At 46.3% G+C, this 16,794-nt stretch overlaps 1 protein-coding gene across 12 annotated transcripts in view, besides 2 other annotated features; it reads left to right on the top strand.

Annotated features, from left to right (window-relative positions):
- PIK3R5 (phosphoinositide-3-kinase regulatory subunit 5) overlaps nucleotides 1-16,794 on the top strand; it is an 86,792-nt gene that overhangs the window by 1,665 nt on the left and 68,333 nt on the right. The gene's annotated exons all lie outside the window — the stretch shown is intronic.
- Nucleotides 8,360-8,859: an enhancer, noted in NCBI's record as "H3K4me1 hESC enhancer chr17:8858501-8859000 (GRCh37/hg19 assembly coordinates)". NCBI's record gives its function as "activates a minimal SCP1, AML or CMV promoter by ChIP-STARR-seq in primed H9 embryonic stem cells {active_cell/tissue: H9 hESC(primed)}" and the evidence as "EXISTENCE:reporter gene assay evidence [ECO:0000049][PMID:30033119]".
- Nucleotides 8,860-9,361: an enhancer, noted in NCBI's record as "H3K4me1 hESC enhancer chr17:8857999-8858500 (GRCh37/hg19 assembly coordinates)". NCBI's record gives its function as "activates a minimal SCP1, AML or CMV promoter by ChIP-STARR-seq in primed H9 embryonic stem cells {active_cell/tissue: H9 hESC(primed)}" and the evidence as "EXISTENCE:reporter gene assay evidence [ECO:0000049][PMID:30033119]".

Below are 16,794 nucleotides of genomic sequence, written 5' to 3'. Positions count from 1 at the left end.
GTTTGTAGAACGCTGGCTTCCGTGTTTCCTCGTTGTGGCTGTGGTGGTGTGGGTCTTTGCCTGTGGACCCGTGGAAGACAAAGAAGACAGTTTTGGATGGTCAAGCTACTTTCTTGCTTCAGGGCTCCCTCCCCTGCTTTTTGAAGCCTCACAAACCAGGACTGTGAGGGCAGGAAGGCTTGGGGTCTTTGTGTGCTGAGCCTCATTAGGGTTTTAAGAACCTCCCTCCTTTCATCTCTAGCTTACGAGAGGGATGATTCATTATCTTCCCTCCTCAGGCTGCAGTAGAAGCAGACAGTCTCTGCCTCCCTGCTTGCCTTTCCTCCCTCCCATTCACTGTTGATTATTGCCCTCAAGAATAACAGGTTGCCCAGCTACTCGAGAAGCTTAAGTGGGAGGATTGCTTGACCCCAGGAGTTCGAGGCTGCAGTGAGCTATGATCGCTTCACTGCGCTATAGCCTGGCAGACACAGAGAGACCCTATCTCAAGCAAACAGACAAACAAAAAAAAAAAAAGAAGAAGAAGAAGAAGAATAGGTTGGATGCTAACTGGTGGCACTGGGTGACAAGAGCATTTGGGGTTGATGTTGGCATGAGGATGAGAAGGCAGGGGTGCAGGCTGCTCCATACCCCTGTGTTAGCCATCCATCAGGGGCCTGCTGGCTGAGGAGTGGGAGAGGAGGAGAGCCAGGATCCTTTTTGCCTGGGTAGCCTAGAGTTTGGAAGCCCCAGCTTGGGTTCCACTGAGCACTCAAGCTGTGCTGACTTGGCCTTTCTTCAAAGATGCTCATCCCAAGGGACTGAGCTGCGTGGCCCTGTGGGACCTCTGAGAACCAGAATGCCTGTTTGGCCTCAGCTGGTGAGCTAAAAGCCTGAACCAATGTGTTAAGAAAGAAAGCTGGCCAGGCATAGTGGTTCATGCCTATAATCCCAGCACTTTGGGAAGCCAAGGCTTTGAGGCCAGGAGTTCGAGGCTGCAGTGAGCTATGATCGTGTCACTGCATTCCAGCCTGGGCAACAGAGTGAGACCCTGTCTTTACAAAAACAAAAAATAAAATTTAAAAAACAGAGAAAGCTCCTGGAAGAAGAAGATAGAGTGATCCTTAACAAGTCAAGGGAGAGGTGTTTAATTTGATTTTTGAGCCTCAGATATAGATGGGGTGGGAGGAGAGAAAGGAAAGAGTACATCTGACTTCTGCCCAAAGGGAAGATGATACCCTCCCGTAGCAAACATATATTACATAGTAAAATATTTCATCAATTTGAAGATGTACATATTTTCACATTTTAGCACTGAATGTGCTAATTGTATGAATTTCACTGAAATCAAGGTGCATTTTACTGTTTATGGCATCTTCCAATTATAATAGGCAACAATATTTCTTCCTTATTGCCACACAAAATAACGGTGCATCTTACAATTGATGGCATCTTAGATTCTATTAAATACAGTGCACTTTTTATAGATTTGGGGGATGTGTTAGCGATACACAGGTCCACACAGAATTATGTTGTTCTCATAGCTTTCATACATTAATTTTTCCAGTAGCTCTACCTTCTAAGTATCAGAACTTTTCATTGTATTATGTTTTAAAAGAAATCTTTGTAAAGTATGTTGCTTGCATTTATAAATGTAGCATGTTGGATATGATTGAATAATTTCTTGAAATTTTCATCAAATGGTTCTGGCCTGCCATTCTCTTTTGTACCCTGTGTCTTTTTGTACATTCATGCTTCGTTCTCTTTCATCTTTCTCCCTGTCCTTTTCTCCTTTGGCTATGACTTCATGGTGTTGGGCACTGTGCTGAGTATGTCATGTCCTTTAATCTTCACAGTCACACTCTGAGGTAGCTACAATTATTGCCCCCATTTCACATATGAGAAAACCGAGGGCCAAGGCCACACATTTAGGTGGTGCCAGAGCTGGGCTGACTCTGGCGTCTGCTCTTAACCAGAATTGACCAAGCCTAAGTGGTGGCCTAGGTGTTCCTGTGGGTGTCAAGCGCATGCCCCATACAACACAATTTGGGGGCATGAATTGTGGCCACGAGGTGCTTTTGTTTGGTTGCTTGCTTGTAGGATAGCAGCTAGGTTCTGGATAGTTGAGGTTATCGGTTAAGTGACTTCCAGATAAGTGAGTCACAGCTACAGCAAGTTACACCCAAAAGGGGGTTGGGGGCTGATGAATGGGAAGAAATGGATGACTTTCATGGCACAGAGAAGATCCTGGGTCCTTCTTGAGTCTTCTGAGTCTATCAAGTGGCTTGCTAGACTTTGGGCCCTAGAGTTCGGCATCCACAGGAGACTCCTGCTTCCATGGAGCTTCTCTCCTGCTGCCATGGTGATGTAAGATTACACATCTGCGTGAGTCACTTTTATTTTCATTTTTTTTTAAATTATTATTTTTTAGACAGAGTTTCGCTCTTGTCACACGGGACGGAATGCAGTGCCGTGATCTCGGCTCACTGCAACCTCCGCCTCCTGGGTTCAAGCAATTCTCCTGTCTCAGCCTCCCGAGTAGCTGGAGTTACAGGCGCCCGCTTCCACGCCTGGCTAATTTTTGTATTTTTAGTAGAGATGGGGTTTCGCCAAGTTGGCCAGGCTGGTCTCGAACTCCAGACCGCAGGTGTTCTGCCCGCCTTGGCCTCCCAAAGTGCTGGGATTACAGGTGTGAGCAACCGCGCCCGGCCTGCGTGAGTCACTTTTCAGCTGAAAACGCTGCAGAGCTGCATGACTTTCCAGAGACGGTCCACACCCACCACCCATCCCAGGTCCACCCCTCCTTCTTCCTCTCCTGTAGCCTGAGGAGACCTCTGCACCTTTGCGTGTGCTGTTGCTTCTCCCCAGATTGCTCTTCCCTGCCTCTGCCTGCCTGGTGAACTGCCAGTTCCTCCTAGAAGCCCAGCTCAAGCCTCATCTTCTGAATCCTTCCCTGATGCTCTTCCTTTGCCCTTCAGCACTGACCGCCCCCTCCTTCTTCATTGTGCTTTCTATGTCTTCGCACCATAGCACTGACCGCCCAGGCCTACAGGGGGACCAGTGACCTGGCACAGCTATGGCCTGCTCACCCTAGCCACTTGATGTTCAGCATGGCGTCAGGCTGTCACTCTGAAACTCCCTGGGATCTCACAAGCAAGGCGTCCATGCACAGCAACAGCAGAAGTTGCCAGATCACAGGATGGGGTGGGGGGCTGGGGGTGGGGCCCGGAGGGAGTGGTGTGCTTTTCATTTTCATGTCCTCAGGAGTCTTGTTGTTGTTGTTGACCTAGGCAAATGAGCTTGTGTGGTTTCCTTGTTAGAGTGCAGGGCTGGGGTGTGAGGGCTGAAGGTGGCTCACATGGAGCCCAGTTCCTGCCAGGCTCCCCAACTCCTAGCCACGTGATCTTTGCTAAGTCCATGTACCTCTCTGCATGTCAGTTTCCCCATCTGTGGGATGGAAATCTGGCACTCAATGCTTTATGTGGCCCCTGCCTAATCGCTAACATTTCACTTGTTCATTCAACACTTCTGCATGGAGCGCACCTTCTGTGAGCCAGGCATGTGCCAAGCTCTGAGGACACTGAGCAAGACAGGCAATGTTCCTGCCCCGTGGAACTCACAGTCTCATAGACAAGACATGCAACACACATATTGTTCAATTACAATTGTGAGAATTATGGGATACTATGAGATTATGGAAAGGGAACTCAATATAGTTGAGGGGTTAAGGAAAGGTTTCTCTGAAGAAGTCATATTTGAGTTGAGACTTGAAAGATATAAAGTAAAAGAGAATCATAACAATCATAATACTAATACCTACCATGTAGTGAATACTTGCTAAGGGCTTTTTGAGTGCATTCTCTCCAGCATTCTTTTCAACATCTCATGTGTGGGGTATGTGGGCTCCCTCTCCTGTGAGGATCAGATGATAGCACTACTGGCAAGCACCCTTCTCAGTGTCTGACACAGACCAGGGACTCGTTCCCACCTTCCTCACCCCTCCCCGTATTCCAAGGTCCAGCTTATGGACGCTGAGGTCATCAATACTAATGGGGGGGCCTCTCTTCTCCTTTCCACTGACCATCACCAGATAGCGTGTCCCGCTCAGGAGCCCTCTGCATTTGTGCATCTCCATCAACAGCTCAGGGAGTTGAGTCCCCAACCACAGAAAACTCCACCGTATTTTTTGCCAGGCCTTCATTCTGTTCCTCTTAGGAGCCGCTGTTCTGGGAGGGTTCAGAAGCCCTGATCTGGATTGTCTGTCTCATCTAGGAAGTCACTTGTCCAGCTCCCATATCCTTCTTCCACCAAAGCTTTCTCCCCAGAACCATGAAGTCTGTGCAGACGTATCACTGGGTTTTTGGCCTGAGCATTTGTTCCTGCATGGCTTGGTGGTTTGGCCCTTTTCAGGCAAATCTCCATACAGCCACTTCCACCCAACCTGGCCGAGCCAGCCAGCCTCCTGGGGGAGCGTTCTGCAACCAGATCACATCTACACTGACAACTCTTCGAGGAGAGTCTCAAACTCTCTCTAGATAGTTGGCCCCTTTGAAAAACTGATGAAAGCGAAAGATCATCTCTCTCGTCACCCATAAGCACACATGTACATGTGAATGCATGTGCACACACACACACACACACACAGTCTCTCTCGCTCAAAGTTTTGCATAAAATTCTAAGGTCTTCTTGGATCTCTGCAGTTCACCAAGGGACCCAGGTTAATAACTCCTGTTCTAGAAAACATGACTTTCTGTGTGCTGATTTCTTTGGATTATCCCCAGCACAGCTCCCTGTGGGAGGAAGCTGTTGTCAGAAGCAAGCTGGGGGTAGTGATGGATAATGAAAACTGTGTAGAGGACACTGGTAGCGACTCACTGGTGAGAACCCTGAAGCGGCGTGCTGGGGGCCATCTCATGACTGCACACTGGGCCACTGCTCTGTTGTTGGATTTCTCACCAAGTTTTGAATTCAGCCCATTTCCAAGATGATTAAAGAGTGAAAGAGAAGGCCCTGCGTGGTGGCTCACACCTGTAATCCCAGCACTTTGGGAGGCCGAGGCGGGCAGATCACCTGAGGTCAGGAGTTCAAGACCAGCCTGACCAACATGGAGAAACCTCATCTCTACTAAAAATACAAATATTAGCCGGGCGTGATGGCACATGCCTGTAATCCCAGCTACTTGGGAGGCTGAGGCAAGAGAATCGATTGAACACGGAGGCGGAGGTTGTGGTGAGCCGAGATCGCGCCATTGCACTCCAGCCCAAGCAACAAGAGGGAAACTTCATCTCAGAAAAAAAAAAAAAGAGAGAGAGAAAAAAAAAGGTGTCTGTGGCCACACACATGAATATAAACAGTCTACGGATCAGAGAGGCATGCATGACTGTTCCTTTGCCACAAAAGTCTGCAACCTCCCAAGTTCCCAGGGACAGGCATGAGCTTGGGGCTTTGTTTCTCTGATGTGGTCATAGTTCTTTAGAACCAGTGCCTTGATGTAAAGTGCCATGTGTGAAGGACGTTTTCTTCAATTCCTCCTTTGTAAGGATTTTTAAAAGCATGAATGGATGTTACATTTGTCCAATACTTTTTTAAAGCATCTGCAAGGAAACTCTTGTACTCTTTCACCTTGTGATAGATTTATGTGACACATTAGATCATTAGCTTCCACATATTGAGCCCTCTGCATTTCTGGAGTAAACTCAATTGGGTCAAGGTGCTTTATTCCTTCAGTACTGTGCTAGGTTTGATTTGCTGTGATTTTCTTTAGGATTTTTTTTTTTTTTTTTGAGACAGTCTCACTCTGGAGTGCAGTGGTGCGAACCTCCACCTGCCAGGTTCAAACAATTCTCATGCCTCAGCCCCTGAGTACCTGGGATTACAGGCACCCACTACCACGCCTGGCTAATTTTTGTATTTTTAGTAGAGACGGGGATTCACCATGTTGGCCAGGCTGCTCTCGAACTCCTGGCCTCAAGTGATCCACCAGCCTTGGCCTCCCAAAGTGCTGGGATTATAGGAGTGAGCCACCGCATCCCACCTTTCTTTAGGATTTTTGCATGAAATGAATTTGACCTCTATTTTCCTTTTCTGTGCTGCCGTTGTCAGTTTTTGATATACTGACTTTGCAAATGATTTTGGAAGCACGTTACCTTCTCCCACGCCCTGTGACAGCTTATAGAGCGGGGAATGAGCTGCTCCTTGGAAGCTGGGAGAACGGCTCCAGTCTTGAGGTCTTCCACTGTGGGATTCTTGGCTTCCCACTCCCCAAGCTTCCTTCTCTTCTCTCTTCCTCAGTCCTCCCAGGTACAAATCTGTAAACCTCAGAGCTCCCAGGCTCATGCCCGAGAGCCATCTTTGATTCTTGGCTTCCAATGTTCAGCCACTAGGTCCCATGGGTCCTTACTTTATATGCCCTTCAGCTAACAAGCATGCCTATTTCCACACTGAACTGGGCATATCCACCTTGAGTGAATTCCAGGTGCTGCATTTGGAGGATGCTGAGCAACCACTTCATATCCAGAGATAGGTGACCAGGATAGCGATGACAGAATATGAAGTAATTAAGAAGTAGCGAGGTTTTTCTCCAAGAAGAGAAGACAGAGGAGAAGTAGTATCTGTCTTCAGATGTTTGACGAGCAGTGTCCTTTGAAAAAGGTGAAGACTTCTCAACTGGGTGTCATTCTCTGGAATGGAAAAGGGATGACAGAAGGAAAATTGTAAGAAAATAGACTCCAGCTCACTAGAAGGAAGATCTCAGAGAAATTCAGAGCAGGTCAACAGTGGAATGGGAGGCTTCGTGGTGGCTAGTTTCCCGTTGGGGAAGTATGCAGGGAAAATACATGTTATATATTATGGAAATGATAGCCGTGAGAAAGGAGACCAATATAGCTTATTTTTAAAGAGCCTGTAGTTCTCTAAATCATGGTGGCCATGTCTGACTGGTTGTGTAAACGCTGGTTGTTCTGAGAACATGATTTGAGTTTGAGTAGTTCAGTGACCTTGAATAAACAGGTCCCAAAGCTGGGCAGTTTGCTCAGAAACCCCACAGCCCTGCTTCACAGCCCGTTCTCCGCAGCAGAAGCACCTTGGCTGTGAGAAAACCATAGCCATTCATGGATACTGGGATCCTCGCCCACATCCTCTGCTGGGAGCATGGGCTTTTCTTGAGGTCTCTTGTTCTTGGCTCCTTCTGATACTTGGTAAAATAAACTAATTGAACACCATTTCAAAATTGCCTTCCTCCGTGAGTGTCCCAGATAAGATCTTGGGGCCAACCTATCTCACCTCCAGGTTGAGCTGGGAATTGATGTCCTCTTGTTCTTGGGGTTTTCACGTCAATGTTTCATAGGTCTTTGCACTGTGCATTCACTTCTGTACCATGTTGAGAGTTTCATTTTGAGAAAACGAAAAGCTCTGCGCTCTCCTTGGCCTGTTATTGTGCTTAAGAGAACACAGGGGGCTGTGATGTGATGTACGGGCTACAGGATGGGAATAGGAGATGTAATCTCTAGTCCTGGCCCCTAATTACTTCCTCATCTTGCTGAGTCTGTTTCCTCCTGGACCAACTGGACTCTATGATTCTGACCACCTGGGAGTTTTCAAAGCCTGCTCTCCAAGAGTTTTCTTGTGGGAGCTGCTCTGATGGGCTGAGCAGAGAGGGGACCTGCTCCTTCCCTCATGGTGCCACCTTATGACAGGACTCCCAGTGACTATGAGTCCCTCTTCAGACCTCAATGGCAGAAACCCACCCTCTAGCCCATGCTTCTGCTGGAAGGCTTCCTTTCAGGTCACTGGTGGCTCTGGAATGGCAAGTTCCAATAGTCTCTTCCCAACCTGCATCTTTTTTTTTTTTGAAGTCTCCATAAAGTCTGATGCCCGACAAATTTTTGTTTTATTTTTTATTTTTGAGAAAGGGTCTCACTCTGTCACCCAGACTGGAGTACAGTGGCACGATCACAGATCACTGTAGTGTCAACCTCCCCAGGCTCAGATGATCCTCCTGCCTCAGTCTCCTGAGTAGCTGGGACTACAGGTGTATGCCACCACGCCCAGCTAATTTTTTGTGTGTGTTTTTTGTAGAGACAGGGTCTCACTATGTTGCCCAGGCTGTTCTCAAACTCCTGGGCTCAAGTGATCTACCTGCTTCGGCCTCCAAGTACATGCGGGTTATTTTCACTTGATGCCCTATTTCAACTTGAGCAATATCCAGAGCCCAACTCTGCATCCACAAAGCAGGCTTCCTGTGCAGACTTCCCCATTTCTGTCTCTGCTGAAACCAGACTCCCAGCCTTGAAACCTTGGACTCATCTCCGAGTCCTCCCTCCATCTTCCTTGTTCCCCACTCCCCAGCCCGTTTTGATGGTGCTTCCTTTCTCCATGGCTCTTGTTTCTCTCACTTCCCCATTGTTCTCTCTCCTACCCAATTTGGCTTTATTTACCATATGCCTCTGGTGGGCCTTTTGGACCACAGGCTCTTCCTCTCTTCACCAGGAGATTCTTCTTATGAAAACTTCTATGTCACTGTGTTCAGATACTTTGATGGCACCCCACTGCTTAGGGAGAGTCCAGAGTCCTTAGTCTTCTGTTCAGGTTTCGAAGTTGAGTCCCACTCCTTTCTCCACGAATCATCACGCTCTCCTCCAGCCAGACTGCCTGACTCAGTTTTCCCAAGACCTAACGTGTGTTCTTGCCTCACTCATCCCCTTCCCAATGAGGGAAGCTTTCCAATCATTTTGTTCAGTGCTGACTCTCCAGTGCCTTGCAGGGGCCAGCACTTGTCATTCAATCAGTGCTTGCTGAATGAGTGATTGCCTGGTCGAGCAGCCAGCATGGAAGAGGCCCGGGCCTCAGCCTTGGATGACTGATGATCGGGCAGGCTGGGCTGCTCCCCATCTGAGACCTCTGTGGGGTTCGGTCATCCTCCCCTCAAGGACCCTCCAGACATATCACTGGTCTTCTGTGCACAACTGCAAGGGCTTCAGACACCAGTGGCTTTGTGATCCACTGTGGGACAAGGCAGGTGTCCTCCTCTGGGCTGCTTCAGACCCCTGAGCCTCTGGCAAACTCCAGATGCAAACTCCAGGTGCTGAGAACCCTCTGCTTGGGAATCTTTTTTTTTTTTTTTTTTTTGAGACGGAGTTTTGCTCCTGTTGCCCAGACTGGAGTGCAGTGGCACAATCTTAGTTCACTGCAACCTCCGCTTCCTGGGTTCAAGCAATTCTCTTGCCTCAGTCTCCTGAATAGCTGGAGTTACAGGTGCCCGCCACTACACCAGGCTAATTTTTGTACTTTTAGTAGACATAGGAGTTTCACCATGTTGGCCAGGCTGGTCTTGAACTCCTGACCTCAGGTGATCTACCCGCCTCGGCCTCCCGAAGTGCTGGGATTAAAGGCATGAGCCACCGCACCCGGCAGGGAATCTTCTTACCACCCTCCCATTTAGTCAGATTTAAGATGAGCAGTTAGCTAAGTCTGAGAGCAGGGGAAGCCCTGGGGAACCTTCCCCCAACAAGCCACTCCCAGTCTGGTGACAGCTTCTGCATAAGAGCCTGGGGAAGTGTCTGTTTGCAACACGGTGTTTACAAGGCAGAGGGGCTTCCTGTCCCGCCCGTGCCAGGCTGTGGGGCAATCAGGGCAATCAGGAGCTGTGTTTTCAGAGGGAGTAAGGCGAAGAAACTGTTGAGGGATTTCTGGAGATTCTTCGAACATCACCAGGGGGTGCCTGGCCTACTTGACCCTGGAGGACAAGGGAGATGTAAAATTCAGGTTTAAAAATTGGGAGCAAATTAAAGTATTACTAACTGATTAATTTGCATATGGTCCTTTGCACCTTGCAAAAATACAAAGCATTTTTCACAAAAGTAGCCCTCCCTCTGAGTCTAATGTGGAAATCTCTAGAACAAAAAACTTCCTTTTCTCACTCCCAAGCCGGGGGAGCTTGGGTCAGAGTAAGCAAGGACAAAGTTATTTCTTTTTCTTTTTTCTTTTTTTCTTTTTTTCTTTTTTTTTGCAGAGGAAAGAGCACTTTCTGGGGGAAGGGGAGAGCGGTGGAAATTACTCCCCAGGAGCGATAACTCCCCCATTCCAATTCAGAGCTCATGCATGATGGAGAGTGACACTCTCTCCGTGCATATCTGAGAAATGGGCTGAGGAGGCTGATACTGGACCCTCTGCCTCCTCCAAGGACTGTGGCAGCCCTAGGACACACACCTGCCAACCTGGAACCATTGCCATGGCTCTCACAGAAACACGAGCTTGTGTCCAGAGCCCTTGTTGTCTCTTGGGCCTCAGTAAAAGTATCTGGAAAGGTCTTGGAAGGTGGGTTGGGCTTTCTTGGCCCTGGGGACAGGAATATAGTCCACTTCCCCTCTTCAGTGGGTGGGTAACCCAAGAGTGGGTGATCAAAAGATGGGGCTCACTCTTACCACCTGACTTCTGAAGACCTGAGGTTGTTTTTAGTGGTGAATCCATCCTCTGAACCCATTTGATGCCAAATGTGAGCTGGCCAGTGGTAGGGCCAAGGTGCAAAGGCTCCTGTGAGTTCAACACATTAGCCTGTGGGTCACGGTGCTATGATAGCTGTTGGTGTGAGGGGATTTGCTTTACTGTGCAAAACAAGAGAAAAATAAGGGTGTGGCCCTTTAAAGAACTTGCTAATAAAAACCTCCCACTTGAGAGAGGCAGAGCTTGGCCTAAAGGGTGGGGTTGAGGAGGGAGATGATGGGTGGAGTTGAACAAGGACTAGCCTTATGTAAGCATCAAGAAAACACATTTCTGAACTAGTGAGGCTAAGTAGCTCAGGTCCAAGGCATGTGAGACATTTGGGAGTTGGTTCAGAAGGCTGTTCTAGAGGGTACTTGAGTTGCCTAGCAGATAGATGGTGGGGACTTGTGGAAGTTGATGGAAGCAAGCCCTCAATGCTGGACCATGTAATGGGTGCAATGAATAAAGAAGGAGGCGTCCAACTTCCCATTCCCTCATTCTCCCAACTGTGGTCCAAGGCACTGTGCTATTACAGTCCAGCACTCTCCTCTGAGATAGATGTAGCTGGTCAAGAATGCTCCTTCTTGGACCATGGCTCAACTCTGCCAGGTTCCCATCAAGGCTCCTGTCCAGGGGCTGTTGAAGGGATTGGGTTGCAGCCATGGTAATCATATGATAACGGCCACAGTTGCAACTTGGGTCCAGAGCTCAGTGGCCTCAGAGGGTCCCATCTCCCCTCCTCCCCCTACCTTTCCTGCATTTTCAAAGCTGCAGGCTTACTTCTCGTTGGCTGTGTTACTCCGAAGATCTGCTCAGTAGATGGAGGTGAAAATGTTATTTTTCACTAAAATATCTGACCTTGTTTAAGGAGAAAAAATTTTGTAATAATGCCCATAATTTATTCTCATGGTACTTTATTGACCAGTAAGAGATTACCCCTAATTCATTTATAAAAATATTACTCTCTCGACTTAAGTCGCTTCAATACTAACTGGCCAGCCCAGTTTGCTCCAATGAGTGTCTGGCCTTTAAATAGCTCAATCCCTGCTGCTCTCCCTAGAGTAGGACACACAGAGGTGGGGACTCCATGTAGAAAACCTGTGCTCCAGAAGTCATGTCTGTAGGATGACTTCACCTTTTATGAGGTGTCTCTATCAAGGAAATTTTGGGTATACCGTGTGGTCTTTAAGTCAGACCATAAACCATATTCTACAAATTCAGGGGAAATCCACCAGCTGTAACTAAATGGCATAGTAACAGAAAAACAAAAACATCATTTCTCTTATTAGGTAACTCAGCATTCACTGAAATATTAGTTGGTCTACTGGTTTCTCTGTTGGATTGGAGAGACCCAAAATAATAGTGGCTTAAACAAGATAGAGGTTTATTTCTGTCTCAGGTAGCAAGCTGGGCATAAGTGATCCAGACTTCACATGACAGCTTTATAGGTTGGGAACCAAGGTTCCTTTTGTGTCATTGCTCTGCCTTCTTCAACATGTAGCTCTCATCTCATGGTCCATAATGGCTGCTCTAGCAATTGCCATCGCATCTGCATTCCAGCTAGCAAGAAGGGGAAAGGGGGAAGGGAAGTGCATGCCTCTTCCTTCTAAAAGCATGACTTGGAAATTGCACTTATCAATGTCTATTCATATTCCAGTAGCCAGAATGTAGTCATATGGTCATACTTAGTTACAAGAGTCTGGGAAACGTGATCTAAAATTCCTAAAAGTTATATCCCCATAGAAGGAAGGAGAATAGATATGGAAGAACAATTTTGAGTCTCATCCACATTTGAACTTTGTGAATCTTCACTGTTACATAGATGTTCTTTATCCCTTCTGTTGTGGAGTAAGCTTGCCTCCTAAGCCCTGCTGAAAACTATTAATAAAAAACAGCATGCTACACCAAAAGGTCAAACTAACCCAAATGTCCATTAATGGATAAATGGATAAACAAAATGTGTATATACATTCAATTGAATATTATTGATCCTTAAAAAGGAATGAGGTTCAAACACATGCTACGATATGCATGAACCTTGAAGACATTATGCTAAGTGAAGTAAGCCAGACACAAAAGGATAAATACTGTGTGATTCCACCCAAATGAGGTAGCTAGAGTAAACTCATAGAAACAGAAAGTAGATTAGAGGTTACCAGAGGCTGGGGGGAGAAGTGGCGGGGAGTTAGTGTTTATTGGGTATGGAGTTTCAGTTTAGGAAGACGAAAAAGTTCTGTGAATGGATGGTGGGGATGGTTGCACAACATTGTGAATGTACTTAATGTCACTGAACTGTATACTTAGAACTGTACGCACAAAACTGTACACACACAACCTACAGAATGGGAGAAAATATTTGCAGACTATGCATCTGTCAAAGGTCTAATATCCAGAGTCTATAAGGAACTTAAACAAATCAACAAGCCAAAACCAAATAACCCCATTTAAAAACAGGCAAAGGACATGAACAGACACTTCTCAAAAGAAGACGTACAAATGGTCAACACACATATCAAAGATAATGCTCATTATCACTGATTATGAGGGAAATGCAAATCAAAACCTTAACAAGATACCATCTCGCACCAGTCAGAATGGCCACTATTGAAAAGCCAAAAAACAACAGATGCTGGCGAGGCTGTGGAGAGAAGGGAACACTTACACATTGTTGGTGGGAGCGTAAATTAGTTCAACCACTATAGAAAGCAGTTTGGAGATTTCTCAAAGAACTTAAAACAGAGCCACCATTTGACCCAGTGATCTCATTACTGGGTATATTCCCAAAGGAAAATAGCTCATTATACCAACAAGACACATGTACTCACATGTGTTCATCACCCCACTATTCACAATAGCAAAGACATGGAATCAACCTAGGTGCCCATTGATGGTAGATTGGATAAAGAAAATGTTCTACATATAAACCATGAAATACTATGCAGCCGTAAAAAAGAATGAAGTCATGTCCTTTGCAGCAACATGGATGGAGCTGGAGGCCATAATCCTAAGCAAATTAATGTAGGAATGGAAAACCAAATACCATATGTTCTCTCTTACAAGTAGGAGCTAAACACTGAGCACAAGTAGACATAAACATGGGAGCAATAGACATTGTGGACTCTCAGTGGGGAGAGAGGGAAGGGTGAGGATTGAAAAACCTCCTATTGAGTACTGTGCTCACTACCTGGATGCAATATACCCATATAACAAACCTGCACCTGTATCTAACATAAAAGTTGGAATTAAAAAAATACTTACAATCGTAAATTTTATATTGCATATATTTTACCACAATCATGCTATAAAGGACCAAAGGCAGGGTTCTCTGGCATTTTAGGAGCAATGTCCCTACAGATGAAGCTACTCAACACCCTTTGGGTGAGGTTATGAAGCCAGTAATGAATCCATCTATCTGTGTTATCATTCGTATTTTTTACATCATCATGAAACTATATAGCAAGACTTGCTCAAATTCAGATATGCTGCTATTGTGGCTGTTCTTCTATTACCTCTTTAGTCAGTGAATCCATTGATCCCTATTGGCTGCTGGTGGTTCCTGGATCTTTCCCTTAGCATTCACAAACTGTCTTTTAATAATGTATAGAGAATGTTGCCAGGGGACTGGTGGACTCAGACATGTACTTTAAAAAATTCCACTTAAAAAAATTGTTTTTAAATTTTTATTTTCATAGATTTTTGGGGAACAGGTAGTATTTGGTTACGTGAGTAAGTTCTTTAGAGGTGACTTGTGAGATTTTGGTGCAGTGTACGTTGTACCTAATGTGTAGCCTTTTATCCCTCACCCACTTCCCACCTTTCCCCTGCTAAGTCCCCAAAATCCATTGTATCATTCTTATGCCTTTGCATCCGTATAGCTTAGCTCCCACTTATGAGTCAGAACATATGATGTTCGGTTTTCCATTCCTGAGTTACTTCACTTAGAATAATAGTGTCCAATCCTATTCAGGTTGCTGCAAATGCCATTACAGAATTCTCCCTTTCTTTTTCTGTTCCTCACGATGACGACAACATTTTCTAATCTGTCTCTGTCTTTCTCTGTCTCTGTCTCTTATACATCTTTCATTTTCTCTGATTCTTCAAAGATAATCGGTAGCAGCTCCCTTTCACAACCTCAAGTTTCTTTATGACTCTGAGATGCCTTTATTCTCTTCTGCAATCCTAAACTCATTTTCAGCAGCAAGCCTCCCTATTTGGCATCAGATGTTTCAATATCGGACCCTTTCCCCGCAATCTACCTTTCACCCTGTGGCTGGTACAACCTTCCAAATCCAAAAGCTGATGTGTCATTCACCAGCTCGAAATTTAGCAGTGGCTCCACATGGCGCTTGAGTAAACCCTTAAGCACTTAGCTTGGCAGATAAGGCTGTTCACAGTCTACCATGCCAGCCCATGCAGCATCATCTCCCAGCGTGCCCCATGTCATGCCTACCCTTCAGTAGGGCTGAACTGCCAGCATTTCCCTAAAGGAACCATGCTGTCTCCCGCCTCTTGCCTCAGTTTATTTTCCTACCATGAGATTCATGCCTGAATCTCACCCAGGGCAGCTCCTCCTTCCTGAAATGTTATCTCGGGAGTCACCTTTTTGGAGAAGCTTTGCTAATAGACATTCTCCCTCCTCCAAGTTCCTATGGCACCTGTCCCATATTAGCCTCCACTGGGACACCTAACCCACTGGGTAGTTTCTAGTTTGAGAGTTATTTTGGATGGTGCTTCTCTGAACTTCCTGTTGCATGTCCACTGGGCATGTAGCTAGGAGGCATATACCTGGGGCCTGGAGCATGCTGAAGTTGAGCTTTAGGGTCTGATAGAGCATCTTCCACTGGGTATGTTGTCGTACCAGCGTACATTCCCCGCAGCAGCCGTGAGGGTTTGCGTGGCTTCACATCCTCACAACAGTGCTTTTTTTTGCCTTTTTCATTTTGGCCCTTCTGCTGGGTGTGTAGTGGTATTGCCTTGTGGTGGGAATGTGCACTTCCCTTCTGACTAATGAAGCGGAGCACCTCTCCACATGTTTAGTGGCCATTTGGACACCCTCTTCTGTGAAGCGTCTATTCAAGCCTTTTGTCCAGTTTTCTACTGGGTTGTCTTTTTCATATTTTTCTGTTGCTCCTTCACATTGTGTAGTGACCTCTCAATCCTCCTCCTGGCCACGAGCTCTGTGAGATTTCTGGACCCCCAGTGCCTAGTGAAGTCCCTCAAATAGTAGACCCTCAATACATATTTTCTGCTGACTAAATAAAACATCTGTGATTCATGCTTTCCAGTGGGTTAACCATTCTCCTTACAATGGTAAAGCTTATCATGGTAAAGCTTTAGCTCCTACTTATAAGTGGAGGAAAAGATGGAGGCAACATAGGAGCGCATTTCGGCTTTCTCTCATGCGTCGGCCACTGTCTTGAGTTACTGGCCTGATTTCTTCTGGTTTGGACTCTGAAAATAGCTTTACGGGTCCTTTTTGATGTATGCTGCATTTTTCTTTTTCTTTTCTTTTCTTTTCTTTTTTTTTTTTTTTTTTTTTTTTAAGACGGAGTCTCGCTCTGTCGCCCAGGCTGGAGTGCAGTGGCTCAATCTTTGCTCACTGCAAGCTCCGCCTCCCGGGTTCACACCATTCTCTTGCTTCAGCCTCCCAAGTAGCTGGGACTACAGGCGCCCGCCACCACACCTGGCTAATTTTTTGTGTTTTTAGTAGAGATGGGATTTCACCGTGTTAGCCAGGATGGTCTGGATCTCCTGACCTTGTGATCCACCGGCCTCGGCCTCCCAAAGTGCTGGGATTACAGGCATGAGCCACCGCACCCAGCTGCTGTATTTTTCTTAAGGCTTGCTTTCATGATACGCTCATTCTCTCTCTTTCGTATCACCTTAACTTGGGGACCTTGATTCCATCTTGACGTATGCCCCAGGAAGTCACACTGGCTCCTTCACATTTCCGCCTCTTTTCTCCCTTGTGACACTCTCTGACTTGCCTTCAGAGCTTAATTTTCCATTTTCTTTCCCTGTTAAGCCACCCTCTCTGACTTCCAGCCTCTTGTTGTTGTTGTTGTTTTAATAGACTAGATACGCACGGAAACAATTCCCAGCCCCTTGGATAGCTGCTTTCATAAAGTCTATGACTCGCGTCTGACTATGTCTAGCATTTTCTTCCGTGATTACTACAAACCCCAGTCATGGGTCCTTTTCTCCCCATTTTCCTCTCACTGCTATTTCACAAAGCTTTCATTGTTCTTGGTGAGAATTAAAGGCAGAAGATAGGACAGTAATCTTCCTCATCACTAACTTGACCTTCCAACAGATGAGATGACCGAGGAGCAGGGA

This window comes from Homo sapiens, chromosome 17 (genome assembly GCF_000001405.40).
Source record: "Homo sapiens chromosome 17, GRCh38.p14 Primary Assembly".
In the NCBI taxonomy this organism is placed as follows: Eukaryota; Metazoa; Chordata; class Mammalia; order Primates; family Hominidae; genus Homo; species Homo sapiens.
Note: the sequence above shows the minus strand (reverse complement) of the source record. Positions and strands in the feature narration are given on the sequence as shown.